Source organism: Homo sapiens, chromosome 12 (assembly GCF_000001405.40).
Source record: "Homo sapiens chromosome 12, GRCh38.p14 Primary Assembly".
Lineage (NCBI taxonomy): Eukaryota > Metazoa > Chordata > Mammalia > Primates > Hominidae > Homo > Homo sapiens.
Genome location: NC_000012.12, coordinates 4,476,938 through 4,499,336, shown reverse-complemented (window position 1 = coordinate 4,499,336; position 22,399 = coordinate 4,476,938). Strand labels below are relative to the sequence as shown.

The window sequence follows — 22,399 nt, the reverse complement described above, 5'->3', positions numbered from 1 at the left end:
GCCTGCTTATTTTGAGGAGGCATTTTTTAAAAAGCAGAGTTGGCACCTGTAGTCCCAGCTACTCCCAGGACTGAGGCAGGAAGATTGTTTTAGCCCAGAGTTCAAGACCAGCCTGAGCAACATGGTGAAACTGTATCTCTTAAATAAATCACTGACTGGGAAGCAGAGATTGTGATTGTCAGGAAAGAAGTTTGATTATTGATTATAAATAGCTATTTACCAAAAGAAAAATGCTATATTGTAAAGGACAGTGTAAAAGATTTTATGTTTTACTTTTTAGACTAAGTCCCTACTTAGATTCATTATATTACAGGGGCCTCATTTTAAATTTCATATCCTGTATAACAGGGCTCCCAAACTGCCAGGCCAAGAACCTGCCACACAGCAGGAGGTGAGCATTGAAGGGCAAGCATTACTGCCTGAGCTCTGCCTCCTGTCAGATCAGCAGCCACATTAGACTGTCATAGGAGCGTGAACCCTATTGTGAACTGCGTGTGCGAGGGAGCTAGGTTGCGTGCTCCTTTTGAGAATCTAATGCCTGATGATCTGAGGTGGAACAGTTTCATCCTGAAACCATCCCTGCTATCCCCACCCTCACCCCCAACTCCAGTCTGTGGAAAAATTGACTTCCGTGAAACTGGTTCCTGGTGCCAAAAAGGTTGGGGCCTGCTGCTATATAAACACAAAAAAATAATTCTTGTCCTTCCGAGACAGGGTGATTTTCAGTGATTTCCCATTTATAATCTATGCTGGTATAGTTTTACCAGGCACGTTGTTGTTTTGATTAGGAGAATCCTGGTACTATCCTATGAAAGCTTCATCAGACTTACTAATTTCTCATTCCATTCACTTCTGTAGCCTCAGTCATACCTAATATGGTATCAAGAGAGATGGACAAACATTTTTTTCCCTACTGTAGCTTTATAAAGTTTTAGTTCCATCAGGAATTTTTAGCTATTGTTAAATCATCATCACTAACTAGTCTATCTATAAAAGGGTCTTTGGGGAGTAACAAAGTTTATGATGAATTCCTACCACAAGAAATTCATCCAAACATTCCTGCAGCTGGACTCCTGGTTAGCCAGTTTATAAAAATGGTTATATGTAGGTGGGAAACAGCCTCAAAAACAGTGTTTCCAAAAGTCACTAAGTTCAGATTTTCTTCCAGACATCTGATACTACTAGCATTCCCTCTCCCACAATGTTACAAAAGTTACATGTTTTAAATTGGGAAGGCCAGCTGCAGAACATTAAGTTTGTTTCCAAAGTGTCCAATTTAATTCACAAAAGTATATTGAGCTATGATTCTCCCATTTGTTGTATTTAAACATCCATTCAGGTCAAGAAGTTTACTCTATAAACTCAGACAACACTACACAGGATATAGAGGTAATATTGTTTTAGCTTTGGTGCAAGCATCCCGAAGCATTTTCAGGTGTCATTTTCCTCTTCTAACAGAATTGTTAGACACTCAGTTACCATGTTTTAGTGTGTGCAAGAAAATGAAGATGACTGAAACAGCCCATGTCCTATGTCAGATAAAAGAGCTATAGAAATTAATTGCAGTTTAAAAAGAATAAAGGAAAAATAACCTATCAGCAAGAAGAAAGACGTATCAGTTTTATCTCAATAGATCTTTGTGATCTGAAGATACTGTCTTATTGGAGTCAGTCTTATGGAATGAGGAGCTGCAAGCCAAGAATACTGAATTCTCAACTTCCTTTTATTTTTGCTGTTAACTTGTTGAATAATTTGGGGCTTACCAAATTATTTAGTTTTGTAACTGTTGGTTACTAATGAAGATTTTGTTGTTTGTTTTTAACTTCTTTATTGGAGTATAACACACGTATAGAAAGGTACACATAGGTACGCAGCTCAACTTTTCATAGACTGAACACCCATATATAACATATATGCAGATGATGAAATGGAACATGACCAGCACCCAGCAGCCACCTCCCTTTTAGTCAGTTAAACCACACTCCCTCCTCAAGGGTAGCCACTGTTTTCATCTCAAAAATTATGGATTAGTTGGGCTTGCTTTTGCTGTTTATCTTATATCTGGCTTCTTTCGTTCAATATTATGTTTGTGAGATCTATCCATAATATTGTGCATGGTTATAGATTGTTCATTGTTATTGTTATATATTATTGTGTGACTAGACCACAGTTATTTATACATTCTACTATTTGTGGACATTTGGGTAGTTTCTCCAGATTTTTATTGTTATGAGTAGTATTGCTATGAACATTCCAACAGACATCTTTTGACATTTCTGTTGAGAATTAGCTTGTCAAAATACTTAGGGATAGAATTGTTAGGTCTCAGGGTATATTTATGTTTAGCTTTGGTAGATATGCCAAATAGTTTTTCAAAGTGGTTGTACCTATGCTGTTATATTGAATGCGAAAAATAAGAAATAAAGCCAAACTATTTCTCATCTTCTGCTAAGGACTGTGAAACTTATTAACACAAGTGTTTCAAGTACCTCAGAGGCACATACTTGAGAAGTAAAGAATAATCTTGGATATTCCCCATTGGAGCATAAACTCAGATAATAATTCTTATATCTGAATTCCAAGACATACAGTGAAGACTTCAAAAGAACATACTGGCTAACTCTGCAGTTCAGCCTTACCCTAATGAGAGGATTCAAGTTGAGTAACAGTGAGCTTTAGATAGAAGGCGTTGTCTCAGTTATAGTCAGAACTGAGATTTCAATTTCATTTTCATAGGTTTAGAATCTTCTTTGCACATGTCATCTAAAGTGTGACAGTAGGGCCCAATTTTTGGCCAGTTATAAAGTCTATAGTGTTTCACCTGATCCTTCCAGCTTCATTGGATTTCTCTAACAGTGCATTCTCACAGGCATGTTACTAAGATTTAGTCACTTTTCCATTATTTAGAACTTATGATCAAAAACTTTCTGTACTGTTACCTGGCCCACTATGTTGTCTATACCATCTATTATATCATATATACTAAGATTTGTTTCCAGAAGTGAGCTCCTTGTGAAACTGCTGACCACAACTCATGGTGACATTGAATAAGTCATTCTTCTCATGACCTTATTGAATTCTAAAGCTCACAGTTTACTTTTTCTAAGTACCCAAAGCCATTCTTTTTAGGTGCTGGTTTTAATCAGAGACAAAAGGACAGGATTAAAAAACCTTGCAAGCATCTATCTTAAGCTAACGGTGGAGTCTCTATGGAGGCACATGGAAGATTTGAAAACAACTCAGACGTATGTGTGTGTGTGTTTGTGTGCGTGCACATGCATATACAGGTAGCTGTCTAGTTTCCTCTTAGAGTCATACGCTGCTAAGTGGCATTAAGTTAAAGTATACTGAATATGAGAGTTTATATCATCTGAGAATTAAATTTATTTTTAAAATATGTCCGTCACTTCAAAGATTTGCTAGGGTCCTGTCACAAATTGGTATTTTGGTATATTCTCTAAATAGCATTGATGAAATTTTGTCATTAATTCATACCAAATTCTGAAAAGTGTGAAGTTCTTAATTTGTATCACAAATACTTGCTCTAGACCATGCTATTAATCACACATATACACAAAGCAAGAAAGCAGGGTATTAATGAGGAAAACGTGATGACCTTTGGACAAGTGGGACAACGAACTTCATTACTCTTCCCCTACCTACTTTTGGTCATACCATTTAACCCATCCCTATTTTAACTTGCGTTACAATCTTTCATTATTACCATTAGTATCCTAATTTTAATGCATTGGAATAATATGTATTCTATTTGTGGGTATTCAAAACTAGCCCTTCAATAAGCTCTATGCTTACAGTTCACATTAGTTGTCCTCCTGTGACTAGTGGTGCTTAGACTTGACCTTAGCCTGAAATAATTCAAGGCTAATCATAGATGTCAGTAAATTCTGGATTATAAGAAAAGTTACTGTCAGAAAATGCTTTTTTATATTTAAAAATGAGTGCTTCATTAAAACAGTATAAATAGTACTAATTCCTTGATTCTGATTACTATCATAGTATTTCAAAAAATGATTGGTTTTAGAGTAATATTTTAAGATGATACAAATAGTTATACAATAGTATTTATTCCTACATGTGGGTTCTTGAATAAAATGTTTAACGTAAGTGAATAAGTAGGTCCTTAATGAAATTAGATGCCGTGAATGAGAATCAGCAGAAACAACTGAACATAAAAACAGATGCACAAAGACTTGAAGCACTGGAATTATAAAACACAGACCATACAATAGTTGATTACTGTGTTTAAAGAACTGAAGACAAGCTTGAAATGCCTTCAAGTAAAAAGATGTTATGAAAAGTGATCTGGCAACTATAAAACATTGCTGAGAGATATTTTAAAAGACCTAAATAAATGGAAATATATCCCGTACTCATGGATTGGAACACTCAATATTGTCAAGATAATAGTTCTAAAATTGATCTATAGATTTAAATCTCAATTGGAATTCTTATAAGGTAATTTTGAGATTTTGACAAGCTAATTCTAAAATGTATATGGAAATGCACAGGACCTGAAACAGCCAAAACAATTTTGAAAAAGAACAAAGTTAAAGAACTTACACTAACTAATTTCAGAACCTGCTATGAAGTTACAGTAATCAGTGCAATGTGATATTGGCAAAAGAATAGACTGTGGATCAGAAAACAGAATAAAGCATCCAGACATAAATCCATACATATATGGTCATTTGATCTCCAGCAAAGATGCCAAGGCAATGCAGTGGGAGAAAGGATAATCTTTTCAGTGTTGTTGAAACAACTGGGTATTCGTATAGAAAAGACAATCGTAACCCTTACATTATATCATATATAAAAATTAATTTAAAATGGATCAGACCTAAACAAAAGAGCTAATATTATAATGCTTCTAGAGGAAAACATAAAAGAAAATCCTGATGACATCAGGTTAAGCAGGTTAAAATTTGTTAGGCCACAAAGGCATAAGCCATAAAAGACGAACGTAATAAATTATATTTTAAAATTCAAAACTTTAGCTCATCAAAAGATGCTATTAAGAAAATGAAAATTCAAGCCTCAGGCTGTCACATAAGCAATTCGCTGTACCTCTCTGAGCATCTTTTTTTTTTAAATTTATAAAGGTTATTTTTGTTAGATTATTTATATTGTAAAGTTCCATGTAAACATAAGACATTATTATTGTAGTTTTTAGAGCCATCAGCATTGCTCCGTAGCGGTAGACATTTATTTATTTATTTATTTTTTGAGACGGAGTCCTGCTCTGTTACCCAGGCTGGAGTACAGTGGCGTGATCTCAGCTCACTGCAACCTCCGTCTTGCAGGTTCAAGCAATTCTCCTGCCTCATCCTCCCAAGTAGCTGGGATTACAGGCGCCCACCATCATGCCCAGCTAATTTTTGTATTTTTAGTAGAGACGGGGTTTCACCACGTTGGCCAGGCTGGTCTCGAACTTCTGACCTCAGATGATCCGCCTGCCTCGGCCTCCCAAAGTGCTGGGATTACAGGTGTGAGCCACCACTCCCGGCCAGCTGTAGACATTTCTTAGTCACCTCGTTCTCTCTGTACATCATCTTTTCACTAGGAGGAAGTAATACAAAAAAACCAAACACTTGTCCCTCCATGCATGTGTGTACTCCATAAGACCACTGTAGCTCTTTTGTAGCAGCCTTTGCAGTTAGAAGGAAATACTCTTCTTTCTGTGAACTTTGAAGCCAAAGTGTTATAACTTAAAGTGGAATATCAGAAAATTCTAGTGAATTTTTAGAAGCTTCCAGAACCTAACCCAAGAGGATTCTTTACTTTTTAGCCAACTAAAAAACTAGACCTTTCTTTAATCAATCTTAAAACAAAGTGTCTTGGACACAAATTTAAAAGTAGCTTCCTATTAAACCCTATTTCTGGCTACAGAGAAAGTCACATTCTTTTTAAATGTCCATGGATAAAAGCTAATTCACTCAACCTATGTTTTTGAGCATGTGTATTGCTCAGTATTATAGAAGGCATTGTAAAGGTAATAAGGGTGAATAAAAAGTGGCTTCTACCTTCAGAGAGCACACAACTTAATCAAGAAGAGAAAGAATAAATCCCATTCTTCTGCCCATTCCTCTGCCCTCCTCCCCAAAAACGACAGGATAAAAATGTGAGCATTGAGATAAAAGAACAGTAAAGTACTTTGGGAGTTCAGAAAATGGAGACATATTTGTAGCTGGAAAAATAGGAAATACTGTATGGAGGAGATGGCAATTAAGCTGGACATTGAAAAATGAAGATCAGGTTCAATAGATGGAATTACCGAGAAGGGCATTGTAGGTAGAAGAAACAGATTGAGGAAAAATGGAGGGAGGTGGGTGACAGGCATTGCAGACCATGTTTAGGCAAATGTGAGCAGATATACTTGAATGAAACCTTCATTTTTAAAAATTTAAAAGTCACAGAAGCTTAAAGTAGCTTTGGCTTTAAAGTATGTAGCCTTAAATAGTAAAAGAAAGGCTTACATATTATGTGTGAGACAGTAGGAAGCAATTGTAAGTTCTTAAAACAGGAGTATAATATGATCAGAAATGTACTTAAAATAGCCAAAATTAGTGGTTTAGAGGGGAAACACTAGAATTCAGGACACTAGATAGGAAGCCATAGTGGTAACTAGCCTTGAGGTCACAAAGACCTTCAGAGATAGGTGAAGAACTGGAATAATTTGATGCTATATCAGCCCCAGGGCAGAGGGGGGGAAATGTCATGAAGAAAAGGAGTGGTCCTAAGGTATGTGAATTACAACAATAGGTAAACGGCAATTAGAATAAGACTGAGAAAAGGTTTGGTAATTAATAATCATTGATGATGTCACGTAAAGAATTTTCAGTTGAGTGATGGGATGGAAGCCTACTTACAAAAGATGAAAGACTGAGTAGTTGGTAAGGAAGACATTATTTGCCTTTTTATTCTTATTCTTGCACGGGTGTCCAGTGAGTTTTTCAGAAGCTACGTGCTGTGTGATAATATAACAGATTGAATGCAGAGACAGATATCAGAATCCAGATATCTTCTGTTAGGCTAGGCCTTAATGAGATTTGCAGAAATTTAAAACATTATTACACTTACTAAAATTTTTTTTGTTTTAGAAAATAGTTATTTTTCATTAAAATGTTATTTATATTAACATGAATGGGTTTATTATTTTTAAATTAATGTTTTCTTAGTTTTAATTCTGAATGCAATAAATATCAAGAGATATAATCTACATAAAGAAAAGCTCATTGGAATCCTCAGTGATTTAAAAAAAAATTTTTTTAGAGCAAGGGTCTCACTCTGTTGCCCAGGTGGACTTGAACTCTTGGACTCAAGCAATCCTCCTGCTTCAACCTCTCAAGTAGCTGGGACTACAAATGTGCACTGTTGCACCAGGCTAATATTTAAGAGTGCAAAAGATCCTGAGACCCGCAAAGTTTGAGAATCACAATAGTGAAATAATCTACATGTTTTATAGTTATAATTATGAAGATTTAGGGAAAAACAATTCTGGTGTTTGTGAAGGGGGACAGATTTTTAAATGGCATACGCGCTAATCATACTGTGGAAGATTATCAGTGTTTTGGTTATAGACTAACAGTGACACTTACGTCCATATTTGACTGAAGATTAGAAAGTAACATAGAAAAATGAATGCATTTGTTTTGTTAGGTGGCTGGGATGGGGCATTTGTTTATTTCCACTCATTTGTAATAATGTATTATACAGTAAAAACATTTTATTGCTTATGCAAATATACAGTGCAATAGAATTATTCATGCTAACATTGAGAGTAGTAGGTAGAGTTCCTATGTCATTTATATTTGTCTTTAGAATTATCCAGAAAAATTAAGGATATATATATTTTTTAACTGTATTTAGGGGGCTAACTAAATTAGTTTGTATTCCACAAGTATAGTCTAACAGCTGGAAGAAGCTGCATGCCTAAAAACTAGAGGAAATCCAGTTGGGATTAGCAAACAGTTACCTAAATCTGTTCACAACATGGATAGTCAACACTATAGATAAAGATCTGACTTTATTTTTTATACAAAGTTCTATCAAAAACATATCTTATGTTTTGTTTCTGTTTTTAGGAAATGACTATACCCTGGTGCTTAAGGAGAGCGGAACTTGTGTTCAAGTGTGTCAAAGGTGAGCATAATCTTCTCTCTGACAACCACCACCTGTATTTCCTCCCAAACATTGAAAGTAGAGCAACCCAGAAGAGAGAATGTGAAAGATACCCCTGTAATCTAGTGCCTCAGTTAGATAGTTTAGCAAGCAAATATTTCATAATAGACTTTTTTAGTTTTATTTTTCTAGTCACAAAATAAGTCTCCAGCCCCTTTGAAATACAAGGCTATTTGGACATTATTTACATTTTGTTCTGCTGCCAGCTTGCTATTACCTTTATTCTCTTAAAAAGAAAAAAAATAGAGCCACATATTTATTAACTTTTAATAAACTATCTTGGCTTCATTGTATGGAGACTAAATTTGATTTGAGAAATCATAAATAAGAGCATGTTGACAAAACTCTGTTAAACCTCTCTGGCATGAAGAATTAGGAATTGCAAACATTTATCTGTCCTTTAGGTGTAGCCTATCCTACGAGCAAATGGCTACCTAAAAAGTCAAGACATGAAGCCCCACAGTGAAAATTCAGTTAATTTCAGTAAGTGACTGGTAGGTTTGAAGGCCAGAACTTGTCATGCAGCAACATCTGTTTTTCTATTTTAGGTTTCATGATGGAAATGGCTTCATGGGATGGAGGAATTTCTAGGACAGTGCAATTTCTAGTACCACAGGTATGTTATCTGAATAGATCTCACCCCAATTTAATCTCTTTTATTAGATTTCTCACAGATACAGCTAGGCATCCTGCCCTAAAATCCCAAAAACAACACAAAAGGCTAATCGCTTTCTGTTTTTTAAGGAGAGAAGTATTTGGATGTGATAAAGGCACTTAGTGTATTGTCAAAGATATTAGCATCTACCACTCAAGGGATTTGTTACTTAACCCCTGAACAAAACTTGACTCATCATTCCTTTGTTTTTCTCCACATTTGTATTATATAGATTATAAAGGGTTCTTAAATAAGGACATTAGCAGATAATGATTCTGTATTCTGTGAAGAACTTAGCAAAATTAGTGGTTTTTTATTACTGATTACACTAGTGTTATCTAGAGGTTTTTCTATTACTCAAACGTATTATTTGACAGAAATGACATAAGTTCTCAGAAGATGGAGCCGGAAAACCAGCCCTTGTCCATGGCCATGCAGTTACATCGGCCATGAAAGATAATTTTCACCTACTGCACTCACATATTCCTAGTAGAACTAGGTCCATATTTTAAAATACTTCTAAAATTATTTTTAAAATCAATGATGATTTAACAAGTGCAATTATTATTTTTTCGTCTTACAGAGTATTTCTGAAGAAATGTTTTATCAACTTAGTAACATGCTTCCCCAGATCTTCCGAGTATCATCAACACTCACTCTGACATCCAAGCACTAAACCCTTATAGATTGACATGCTGGCAGAAGATGATTGTTAAACTCTCCAGGAACTTGTGCTATGCTGGGAATCTGTCAAGCAAAAGATGCCCAGAAAGAGAACTTGCAGCTCAATCCACAAATCAAGATACATGTGTGTGAAACCATTCCAAAAATTTATATACTGCACAAACTGGTGATCAACCCCTAACTTAAACACTTAAAGTCTCTTTATGAATTTCTCTTTTTTTCTTCTCTGTGTTACCTGTGAATATTAGTAATCTAAAACTTTTTATTTATCACACATGGACACTTGGGAAAGGAAACTTGATTATATTTACATGGAGGCATTTGACTTTTTCAAGAGGCTTGACTCGTCTCAGGTGCAATCCTTAATTAAACATACAAACAAAATTTTCCTTTTACTTTCTTTGCCAAAACAAAATGTAAAAGCACTGAAATATACATTGCAAGTACAAATTTCCTGTGAAAATCTTTTTATAGAAACACAAATGTATAAGACAAATGTGCTTGTTCTTTTAAATTCTCCTGTTTCAGAATCTCTTTTTAATCTACTCCTAAGGATGTACAAGTTAGAGTCAGAAGACGTTTTGGATTTTTTCCCTCTCTCTCATCCTCCCGCTGTGCCCTTGCACTTGCATATTAATAACATTTCATGGACTGGGAAATAGTGTTCTTTTTTGCAAGCTTGATGTCAAGTTAGTCTAAACCAGCACCTGGCAGTATTTTAGTGCTCATCAACATTGTGACAATCACACAAGGAAGATCATTTCTACATTTCTGTCCTCCCTGCGTTCTCAGCTTGCTTAACCATTCCTCTACCTCTTGCATTTTTTTGCGGATAAATGTATCCCCATTTCTGCTTCTCTGTTTCCCCTCCTTTTCCATTGTTTTTCCTTATGGTACTACTTTCTCAGGTGCTACATATCATATATTTGTCCCATCTATAACATATTTAAATGCTATAAGTAGTAACTCCATTAAACAAAGGCATTTACAAAAGCACACAGGTGTTTAGAAAAGCAATAGTTTCATCAATTCCAAGTTATGTGGATATTGTAACTGGCCACAAGAATGAAATGGAGGGCATTTGGTGTCATAAGATGGCATGTCTTGATGACAAGAAACAAAACGCCCTTCATTAATATGCCTCAGTGTAATAACTATTATAGAAACTGTTGGCAAGCAGAGTGCTTTCCTATAACAGAATGTGTCTTAATTTTCTACTCGAGGGAAAGGTTTGTCCAGGTAACAACACTAAAGACAACCCTAAGAACACCCACTCCAGCAGTATGTCCATTAGACACTAAAACTCTCCAAATTATTTGTCAGGGAGCCTGGCGATTCTGCCAAGAAGGCAGGTGTTTTGCCCTTAGAGCCTATACAGTTCTCTTGGAGAAATTGTCTTTCAGGCACCACTGTTAATCACTGAGACTGATTCTAATGCAAAGCAGGGAAGACAGAGGCAGAAACCAGGAGAGTGGTAGATCAGTGCAGCCCAGATATCGGAATGGAGGAGCAAAGTTTCATTCACGGATGTTTGTTGAATGCTGCTGCCCAACTCTTCCTTTGTCACCTCTAGGCTATTCCACTAAGTTACTTATAAACTGGTGGCTTTAACTGAGGGCTGTGTAAAGGTACTATTTGGCATGTGAAGTCAGGATAAATTTATCGAATGTCCGTTTTCCACATGCAACTGTGTTACAGAAGTAGTAAAATTGGAAGAATCATGTTTATGGTGTTACCACTGATGGAAACACACAAACACCAAGCTAATAATAAATATATAACTTAAAAAGCTAATTATATGCACTGAAATGGTGGGAATTTTAGTGATGCAGTAATTGAGGAGTCTGGAGTTTTGTATTTGGACCAAGAATTATGAGATGAGGATCTTTTTCTGAGTGTTCTAAAGGGCTTCTTGAGGGGGAGTGGTTTAAAGCACTTCATGAATGATGTGAAGAAGGTACCTTGGGCTGAGACAGCATTCTAGGTACAGATGGCACTCTGTTCAACCAACTGTGGATGGAAAATATTCTGAAAAAAAATACAATAAAAATTTTAAAAATACAATATAACATCTGTTTACATGGCATTTACATTGTATTTGGTATAAGTAATGTATAGACGGATTAAGTATATGGGAGGCTGTGTGTAGGTTGTATGCAATTACTACACCACTTTATATGAGACTGGAGCATCCAGGGATATTGATATTGGCAGGGGGTCTGGAACCAGTCTCCTGCAGATACCAAGGGACAACTGAGTAAGGCGCAGATAGGAGCAGAAGCAGAATGGAGGCAGTGGTAAATGGCCAGTAAGTTGAGAGGAGCTGACCACGAGAGTCTTTGAGGATGGGGAGATTAGCACAAACATTGACATTGGTGAGGATTGTGAGTTAGAAGTTTTCTATTTGTATAAACAGTTACATATTCCTAAATGGCCCTCAAGGCCTTAAGAGTGTGCTTTGGAAATCAGGCAGAGGCACTGAACCTGAGGTCTCCATTCTGTGCTGCTCTTTCCCCCCCTTCCCCCATTTCTGCTCTCGAAGCACCACACAAGCAAAGCCATTGATCTAGAAGTGTGGCACCAGCTGTTTCTCAGCATGACAGTGTGACCAGAATGGAAGAAATGCATGAAAAAGAATTTCAGCGGGAAGAAACTGAGCTTGCCTGGGAGTTGGCAGATCTCTTATTGGCACAGTACACACCATCATTTGTGTTACTTCAGTTGGATCCTGGCTAATTCTCACAAGAAGAAAACATGTTTCACAAAAGAAAGATGAAATCACAGAAACATTTCTTTTCTAGAGGCTCTAAGGGAGAATTCACAGAACTGTAGAAAGAACCCACTAAAGTTAGAGACGAGCCTCAGGCCTATTTTTCAGTTTCTTTTTATTTTCTATTTTTCAGTTTCTAGGTGAAAATGGCTGCTTTTCTGTGACTTAAGTTTTTCCATTTATATGAAGTGGGACTGATTTGCTCAGTAGGAGTAATAGAAGTATAAAAATCATAAATGTGAAGCAAAAAGAATACAACACCTATTTGGAAAAAGTACCATGTTTTCAGGACCTTTTAAATCAGTGATTTTCTATCCTTTGTTCAAGAATCTTTCATTATCCATCACATCTTTGCCCGAAATGTTTTGAGAACATAAACAATTGGAATTATTTGAGCAATCTTTTTTACTAAATCAAAGACAGGTATGTCTGGAGAGAAGCTTCTGATTAGCAAATGGTACATAGTATTATCACCTACAATTATCACTGTGCATTCTCATGCCTAGTATTACCACATAAAATGCATAGAATTATCATTGTGTAATTCCAGGCAAACTTGCAAAAACAAAGCCTTGGTGTTTGACTTAACCTGTGGGACATCATCCAAGTGAAATGTATTTTTTGAGAGATTCTTTATAGCTCAATATCTTAAAGGATCACTAATTCCAGGAACCCCAAGCTGGGAACCACAACCTTGGGCAGAAATATTTACATGAGAATATGTTACAAAGGGACGGCAGAGATCAAGAAAACATAAATAGCAGATTGACCCTGAGAATCTCGTTCAATAAACAGCCAGTGTTTACTGAGTTTCTTCTATACACAAAGGCATAGTGCAAGCAAGATTCAGCCCCTAGAAGGTTATACAAAGGCAATGGGACTTGTAAAGACAGAAGACTTGGCGGGCTTTTCTGTAATCTGTGATGCTGATGATCTCTAATAACTAAAATAAAATTTCAGCTAAAGCAGGGGAAAGGAGGAGTAACCTCCTGAGGTGCCTGCAGGACCAATATGTGCTTATAATGTCCTATTTAAATATACACAGATAAAATTACCATATACTTCAGTTCTCTCTTGCGGTTCATTTCCTGTTTTCCTACAGGAAAATGGTTCTGGATATGTCCAAATCGAAGACATATGAGGCTTTCTCATATATCCAAATCTAAGGCTGGCTGAACTTCATACTATATACAGTCAATCCTCATTAGTTGAAGATACCATATTTATGCAATCACCTATTCACTAAAATTTATTTGTAACTCCGAAATTGTTAAAGACATTTACAAAAGCATACAGTCATTTACAAAGACAATAGATTCATCACCCCAAAGTCACGTAGATGTTGTAACTGGCCAATAGAATAAAAAGCAGGGCCTTTGGCAGCACTTTCAGGTTATCTGTGGACATGTTCAGAGCACCAAAATGTTTGAGTCGCCCAACACATATGTTCCCAGCTCAGATGGAGCAAGGTGATGCTCTGCTGCCTTATTTTAGCTTTCATAGTGCAAATAAATGTCCCTTTCATGGGTCTGTTTAGCACCATGTTTTTTTTTCCATTGCTTTGTGGTGATTTTGTTGTTCAAAATGGTCCAAGTGTAGTGCTCAAGTGCTATCTGGTGTTCCCAAGTGCAAGAAGGTTGTGATGTCCCTGATGAAGACAACGCATGTCTAGATAAGCTCTGTCCAGGTAGGCAATGTAGTGCTGTTGGTCAAAAGTTCAATGATAATGAATCAGTGATGGGTATTAAATAAGGTGTCTTTCAACAGTAGCACACATAAAACAAGATTATATCTTGATGGGCTGATGAGACTGTTGTGGTCAGAGCCTTGCAGGAATTTAACTCTCTGTCTCCCTTGGGAGCAATGATTTAGTATTCACTAATTCAGGGTTCACAGCATCTTTATCGAACATAACTACTGTGAACTGTGAGAGTCGACTGTATGTGTCTTCTCTCACCGGCAAGAGGGTGCAAGAGCTATTCGTAGATATTTTTGGTGCATAGAGAATGAAACCTGGAACACGTTACCAAAGAAGCAAACAGATCCTTTCTTGACATGTTCAGGAATTAAGCAGAAACTGTACTGTCATCTGTCATACGTTAGGTGTGACATCTGCAGGAGGAGAATGTACTGATGCATGTCTCCTCCTTTCTCCCTAGCCTTCTCTCCTTTTCTTTCTTTATAATAAATTCTCATTTCCTGGTATCAGCTCATCTGTGCTCAAAAGTCTCTACTCTGAGCAACAATATAACATCAGAGATCAGGAACATAGTCTCTAAAGTTAAGCCTGATTCAAATGCTGACTCCTCAGTTTATTTGCTGTGGCTTGTTACATCGGGCATATTACCTAATCCCGTTAAGCATGTTTCCTCATCTGTAAGCTAGGGAAAATTAATAATAGTATCTACCTCATTGAGTGGTTGGAAGGATTGCATAAGAAGGGCACATTACCTGGCATATAGTCATCCTATAAATATTTGCTGCTATTATCCTTCCTTCCTTCATTCCTTCCTGTCTCCTCCTTCCTTTCTTCCTGTCTGACCTTTCTCCTTCTTCCCTTTCTTCCTTTCACTAGATAGAAGGGATGCTAAGTCACTTAAGACACCGTGTCCTCAAGAAGCTTACAGCCCAATTGAGTTGGTAGGAAAACACACAGTAACCACAGTACCAGCTAGCATATACTAGAGGTATACAGTCAGTGCAGAAAAAAGCATACACAGAGTGCTATGGAAGTCAAAATAGAAACATTAGCATACGTTGGGCCAAGAGAGATGTTGAGCCTCTTGAAAGCAGACTGCTTATCCCTGCCTTTCTCTGGCACTGAGTGAGTATCCTCTGAACCCTCATTATTCTCAACAGGTGAAGCACAAATCCTCCTGGCAGATGGGAAGAATGCCACCTGTGCCAGCAATGGCAACAACTTCAGATACAAAGGATCTGAATGTCAGGAGGAAGTCACAGGGTAGGTGACTAACCCTGTATTTGAGTAGAGCAGGAAGGACTATCATATTTTTTATATGAAGTGAATCTAGATTTTAGAAATAACAATAGTATGAAGTACTTATGGAATTTAAAGTCTCCTACCCACATAGCAGCTGAATGAACAACTTGCCCCTGTAATGCTTTCCTGGTTCAACTCTTAGGACTCTCTTGTCAGCAAGCTGATCATGTGTTTGCTGTCTTGCAGATGAGCAACTGAGGCAAGAGGATTAGATGCTAGGAAGGTGTAGAGGAGATGTCCTGGGATGAGAGAAGAGGATCAGAACTCAGAAATCACTAATCTACTTAGTCTACTTTATGTGTGTGGTGATGGGGATGGGGGAGGGGCACTAGGATAAATACTTTTTCTTTTTAAAAATCATCTTGGCTGTCTTGGCTAGTGTAGCACATTGACTCTGCTATCTGAATTTCCTTTTATCGTGAAATACTTCAAAGATAAAAAGAAGTTAGAGAAATTATAACAAATAACCATGTACCTACTACTTGTTTTTGTTCAAGCTTAAAATTTTGCCACCTTTGCTTTAGGGCTGTCTTTTTTATCACATAAAAGATCACAGATGCAGGTTCTCTTTTGCTCCTGTAGCTTTAGCCTCTCCTTGTATCAGCTACTTCTGAGGAACAAACCACTCCAAAACTTAGTGGCTGAAACAATAAGCATTTATTCTTTATGATTCTACGGGTGGTCACCTCAGCAGTTCTGGTCTCGCCTGGGCTCATTTTTGAGTCTTTGGTCAGTGGTGGGTCGAGTAGGCCACTCTGATTATCTGGGCTAGGCGTTGTCACATGTTTGGGGGTTGGCTGGCTGTAGGCTGGTATAAATGACCTCTGCTGGCACAGCTGGACTTTTCTTCACTGTGAGCCATCCTCCGTGAGGCTAGCCCAGACGTGTTTACATAGTGGTAGTAGAGCTGGAAAAGAGGATTGACACACCATCACTTCCACTACATTCTGTCGTCGATTAAATCTGGTCACACAGCCATCCCAGACTCAAGAGGTGGGGTAATAGACTCCTTATTTTGATGAGAAGTGCTAAAAAGTCACATTGAAAAGAGCATGAACACAGGATGAGGAGAAGAACTGGGAATATTTTTGTCTTCAATGTGTCATAGTCTCTCCTTGGCAGTAACCGCTATCTTGACTTTGTTGTTATTCATTCTTACAGGTTAATTTATAGTTTTAATGCATATCCACAGAGTGTAGCCATAAGATGTATATAGTATTGTACTGAAAGCTTTATCTTCTACAGATCATTCAACATTTGCATTTTTAAGAATCCAATATCATGCTTTTGGGATTTAATCACGCTAATATACATATAGCTACTTTACTAATTTTGGCTGTAGTATATTTGAAGACTGAATTATATGCCTATAGTCCAATTTATGTATTTACTCATTCTCCTATTTATTGACAGTGAGGTTGCTTTCACTTTTGTGTCACTTCATACTGTGCCACAGCAACTACATTCTTGTACATGTATCATTGTGTACATATGTTACAGTTTTTCCATGGTTTATATCTCTGAAAAGAGTTTCTGGATTATCGACATCTTAAAATTTAAGAAATTCCAAATTTAACTCCATAGTTGTACCAAATTTTCCTTCTAATGGCATGTGTGAACACTCCTTTTTCTTCATATAGACTGGGCAGAAATTTTTGGAAATTTTAATTCTTACCATTCTGATAAGTATAAAATAGTATCTCGTTACTGTTTTATTTTGCATTTCCCTGGTTAGTGGCGATGTTGAGCAGCATGGCACATTTGTTGGTCATTTGGATTTCGCTTTTCTTTTTTCTTTCTTTCTTTTTTTTTTTTTTTTTTTTGACAGAGTCTTGCTCTGTCACCCAGGCTGGAGTGTAGTGGCACAGTCTTGGCTCACTGCAACCTCCATCTCCCAGGTTCAAGTGATTCTCGTGCCTCAGCTTCCCGAGTAGCTGGGATTGCAGGTGTGCACCACCACGCCCAGCTAATTTTTGTATTTTTAGTAGAGACGGGGTTTCGCCATGTTGACCAGGCTGGTCTTGAACTCCTGACCTCAGGTAATCCGCCCTCCTCAGCCTCCCAAAGTGCTGGGATTACAGGCGTGAGCCACCACTCCCTGCGTGGATTTCCCTTTTCATGAGTTGTCTGTTTGAATCCTTTGTCCATTTTCTTCTCTTCCATTGTTTTCCCTTTCCTTATTGAATTTGCAGACATTCTTTCTATATTCCAAATATTAAACTTTTTTTTTGAGATGGAATCTCACGCTGTTAACCAGGCTGGAGTGCAATGGTGTGATCTTGGCTCACTGCAGCCTCCCCTTCTTGGGTTCAAACGATTCTCCTGCCTCAGCCTCCCAAGTAGCTTGGATTATAGGTACTCGCCACCACGCCCAGCTATTTTTTGTATTTTTAGTAGAGACAGGTTTTCACCATGTTGGCCAGGCTGGTCTTGAACTCCTGACCTCATGACCCACCCACCTCAGCCTCCCAAAGTGCTAGGATTACAGGCTTGAGCCACCACGCCCGGCCCCAAATATTAAACTTTTATTAGGTATTCTTGAAAACCTCTTTTCTTTTCCCAGGCTGTGGTTTGTTGTTTTACTTTTTATTATGTTTTATTTTCGCAGAGGTCTTAAATTTTGATGTGACATATCAATCTTTTCCTTTATGGTTTAAACTTCTTATATCTCACTTGAGATACTGTTTCTTACCCCTAGTATCGTAGCTAAATACTCATATATTTTCTCCTGTGAGTTTTAACACTTTGCTTTTTCTTATTTGGGCCTTTAATCCATTTGAGATTCACTTTTGAATATTGTGAGGTAAGCATCCAATTTTATTAGGGGTGTAGACAGAAACAGGTAGAAGACAGTAACAAAACATGACTAAAACTTTCCCAACATTGATGGACATGAATCTTCAGATTCAGGAAGCAGGTTGACATCTAAGCAGAAAAAGAAAAATAAATCTACAGCTAGACCCTTTGTGGTAAAATTGCAGAACACCTAAAACAAAGGTAAATCTTAAAAGTCTCTAAAAAAATTTTTAAGAATCAAATAAAGAGAGATTTGCATGACAATTTTAAAGACTACAAATTTTCAACAGCAACAATAAGCACCAGAAAATAATAAGCATTAAGAGAAAATAACTGCCAATTTAAAATTTTGTAACCAACTAACCTGTCATTTAAGCCCTACCCATCACTTTCATTACTAGCTGTGACTAGGACAAATTATTTTATCTCTTTGAATCTCAGTTAATTTGCCCATAAAGTATGATTAATACATTTTCCTCTCTCTAATTCATAAAGCCACACAAGAAAAAAATAAGAATGCTTTACAAATTATCAAGTTACAAAACGATATAGTTTACTTTGATCGTTGAGAGTAGGTTCATATTTGAATGTGACAATCTTCATATTTTTTGGGGGATGAGGCAGAGCATGGAAAGTTGGATGCATGGACGAAAGGAAGAATATAATTATGCATTAAATGAATATTTATTGAGCATCTTTTGTGTACCATGCATTGTTTTAGATACTGGAAACATTGCATAATACTGAATAAGACAGATAATCTCATCCTCTGTCGAGCAGAAGAGACATTAAAATCAATGAACAACTATATATGAAATTATAGATTATTATGGGTCCTGTGAGAAAATAACAAGGGGAATATAATGGATATGCAAATAAGACAAAGCTTTTAGGAGGAAATTATATTTAAACTAAGACCTGAAAAATCGGTAGCAATTAGCCAGATAAAGAGTAGAGGAAGATGCTTTCCCAGGCTGAGGAAACAAAACAAAACACAAACAAAACCAAAAAGCAGGAGTTACAGGATGAACACAACTGAGTGTGGGAAACTAAAGCCCTGGATTTCTGTCTAGAAAGCTGAAAATGGGAGACACAAGGTAAATACAAGGAAAATTATAGAAAGGGAGAGTTTGAAAGCCAACCCATAGAGTTGTTTATGAACTCCTGGGCTTACACTAGAGATGTGCCAGCATGAATCTAATTCTAAACTTCATACCAAAGCTTTTGAGAGCTTAGACTACACCCAGGTTTTAGACTGTCTACTGAGTGACACACATGCAAGACAAATTCAGATAACACTGCAAAGTCTTTGAAAATGGGAATGACATTGAAACCATAACCCACAAGAGGTCGGTCTGAATGTGTGGCCTGAAACAGACTGGTTGATTGTCTGCTAGAGAAAAATATCAACATTCTCCATAGGACTGAAAACCTAGAGTCTCATAACAATAGTAAAAATGACCTGAATACAAACTAAAATTACTTGCCTTACAAAGAATCAGAAAAAATCTCAACTCTGAAAAAACAATCAATAGACAGTAATTCTGAGATGGCAGATGTTGGGATTATAATACAAAGACTTTAAAACAGCCATTATAAAAGCCCTTTTAAAATTCATTTGAAATGTGTAAAACAATAGAAATTCTTAGCAAAGAAATAGATCTAAAGAAGAACCAAATGGAAATTTTAGAGATAAAAAATATAATCTCCAAAATTAAAAAAAACACTCACTGGATAGGAACAGAAACACAATCAAGATGACAAAGAGAAGAGTCAATGGCCAGTGAACTTGGAAATAGATCAATAAAAAATTTCCACGTTGAATACACAGAGGAAAAAAAATGAAAAAATGATCTGAGCCTCATGGGCTGAATGGGAAAAACAAAAAGTTCTAAATTCATGACATTGGAGTCCCAAAAGAAGAGAAAAGATGTAGTGATGAGAAAACATATATTTGAAGAAATATTGGCTGAAATTTCTCCAAATTTAGTGAATAATCAAAATACTGAAAACTAAAGACAAAGAAAATAATCTTGAAAGCAGCCAGAGAAACCCAATGCATTACTCATAAGGAAACACCAATTTGAACGACTGCAGATTTCTCATCTAAACTTGTGGAAGCCAGAAGGAGGTGGAACAATTTTAAAGCGCTAAAAGACTGTCAATCTAGAATTCTATATCCAGTACAAAAATTCTTCAGGAATGAAGGGGAAATAAAGACATTCTCCAAGAAAGAAAAACTAAGAGAATTTGTTGCCAGCGAACCTGCTAAAGGAAGTATTGCTAGAGGAATTTCTTCAGACAAAAGGAAAATGACTTTCAGGATAAAAATTGGAACATGAGGAATGAAGGAAAAGGAATAGAAACGGTAAATGCCTGAGTAAATACAATATTTTCCTCTTGGGTTCTTTAAAGTATGTTTGATTATTGAAAGCAAAAATTATAACATTATCTAATGAGATTTTCAAGATATTTATGCAAAGAACACCTAGAACATAAATGGAAACCTATATGGTGACAAGGTTTCTACATTCCACTGAAGTGGTAATATTGAGTCTAAGTAGACTGGGGAAAAACAATATTGTGAGACAAGAAAGACTGAAACATTCATGTAAATGAGAGAAGTCTAATAGTATCATTGAGCTATTGGGTCACTACTGCTTCTTTCTCATCTTAGAAAAATTCCAAATGGAAAGTTTGCCTGAAGTACCATCCCTCTCACACAGTCCCACAGCTGATCACCAAATCCTCATCTTTCAAATCTGTTCATTTATTTCCATCCCATTGGTGCCTTCATAATTGAAGAAATAATTGGTGCCATTATTTCTTGCCTATATGCCATCTTTCAAACTGGTTTCTCCAACTCCAGTTTTGCCTCTTCTTCTTTCTTAATCTCACCATAATTATCTAAAATTCAAATATTATCATGCTGTGTTCCTGCTTCAAACATGTCAGTTGCTCCTATGTTGCTTTTAAAATAAAGAGTGAACTCTTTGGTCTGTCTCCTGATTACCTCTCCAACTCCTTCCCCCAAGCAATATTCTCTAGACCAGCATAGTAACTATTTTAGGATTTGAGGACCATGTGTTGTCCATTGCAACTACTCAGTTCTGTGGCTGTAGTGCAACAGCAGCCATAGATAATATGCAAATGGCTGAGTGGGATTGTGTTTAAATAAAACTTTAATCACAAAAACAGATGGCTTGCTGGATTTGGCTCATGGGCTATTATATGATGATCCCCTGCTTTACACAACTGAACTACCTCCAGATCTGTGTAGATGACATTTTCTTTCATTTCTTGAGTACTGCATAATCTACTCTCTGAAATATCTCCCTCCTTGATCTGGTTACCTTCAATTCACCACCAGGCCTCAATTTGGATGCCACTTCTTTAAGGAATTAAAGAGCCTTTATCCCTCTACCACCATTGTTGCACTTACCACACTAATATATTTATCTTTTCATTTGTCTGGCTTTCCCTATTTGTCTATAATCTTTTCAAGGGCAGAAACTGCCATGTCTACACTTTAATCTCTAGTGCCTAGCAGAGTACTACTACCAGGCACATAGCGCCCTCAATAAAACTTACATTTCCCATTGAGTGAGTAGAAGCCCACTAGCCCTCGGGCTGACCCAGCCCTAGTCTTAAAACTTTAGGGTTGGCAAAACACTGGCTGACAGTGTAGTTGTATCTCCATGGAAGCTGTGATCTGTTTTGGGTAAGTCATCCCTTTCCTTTGGCCTGGACTTTTCTCCCAGGGCAGTAGAGGTCCAAAATTAAGGACCAACCACTATATCTCTTCTTGGGCAGCACCCATCCCATCCACCAGGCAGCTCAGAGCCCTCAGCTCTGTCTGACCCCACTTCCGACAAGCACTCTCAGCCACTGACTTTAAAAATAAGCCCTGGGGGGGAAATTGCTACATCTCTTTCCAAATACTGTTACAAATGCCAAAAGTGGTGGACAATGAACCATTTGTGGTTAAGGGTGGAGCAACCACCATTCAGCCAGGCATCCTGGGGACTCTCTCCGCCAGTTCAGTGTCCTCCCTTTTCAGTGCACCACCAATAAAATGTCAAAGGCACAACTCTGTCTGCCAAGACATCAGGTAATTAAGCAGCTGAAGGGTCTAACTCACTCAGGGGTCAACCATATGTCCTGTTCTGAACTTGTGCTAAATCTCAAATAGAGATGTAGACCCTTTCTGCAGCACCTTACAGTCAAGTTGAAGAAACAAGACAAGCACATATGAACCATTTAGAAATTAGTAAAAATGCAGTTTATACATTCA

At 37.1% G+C, this 22,399-nt stretch overlaps 1 protein-coding gene across 10 annotated transcripts in view, besides 1 other annotated feature; it reads left to right on the top strand.

The window, feature by feature from the left end:
• Positions 1 to 11,602, top strand: part of FERRY3 (FERRY endosomal RAB5 effector complex subunit 3) — a 50,735-nt gene extending 39,133 nt beyond the window's left edge. For all 10 annotated transcript variants that reach the window (NR_144382.2, NR_144380.2, NR_144379.2 and 7 more), the window contains 3 exons: positions 8,103 to 8,160; positions 8,748 to 8,815; positions 9,438 to 11,602. Coding sequence is in view for 7 of the 10 variants with exons in the window: in NM_001352962.2 (NP_001339891.1) it covers positions 8,103 to 8,160; positions 8,748 to 8,815; positions 9,438 to 9,530 (219 nt within the window). In the remaining 3 variants the exon portion in view is untranslated. The remainder of the gene's footprint in view (positions 1 to 8,102; positions 8,161 to 8,747; positions 8,816 to 9,437) is intronic.
• Positions 12,900 to 13,194: an enhancer, noted in NCBI's record as "tiled region #2870; HepG2 Activating DNase matched - State 7:EnhWF". NCBI's record gives its function as "activates a minimal TATA promoter and a strong SV40 promoter by Sharpr-MPRA in HepG2 cells {active_cell/tissue: HepG2}" and the evidence as "EXISTENCE:reporter gene assay evidence [ECO:0000049][PMID:27701403]".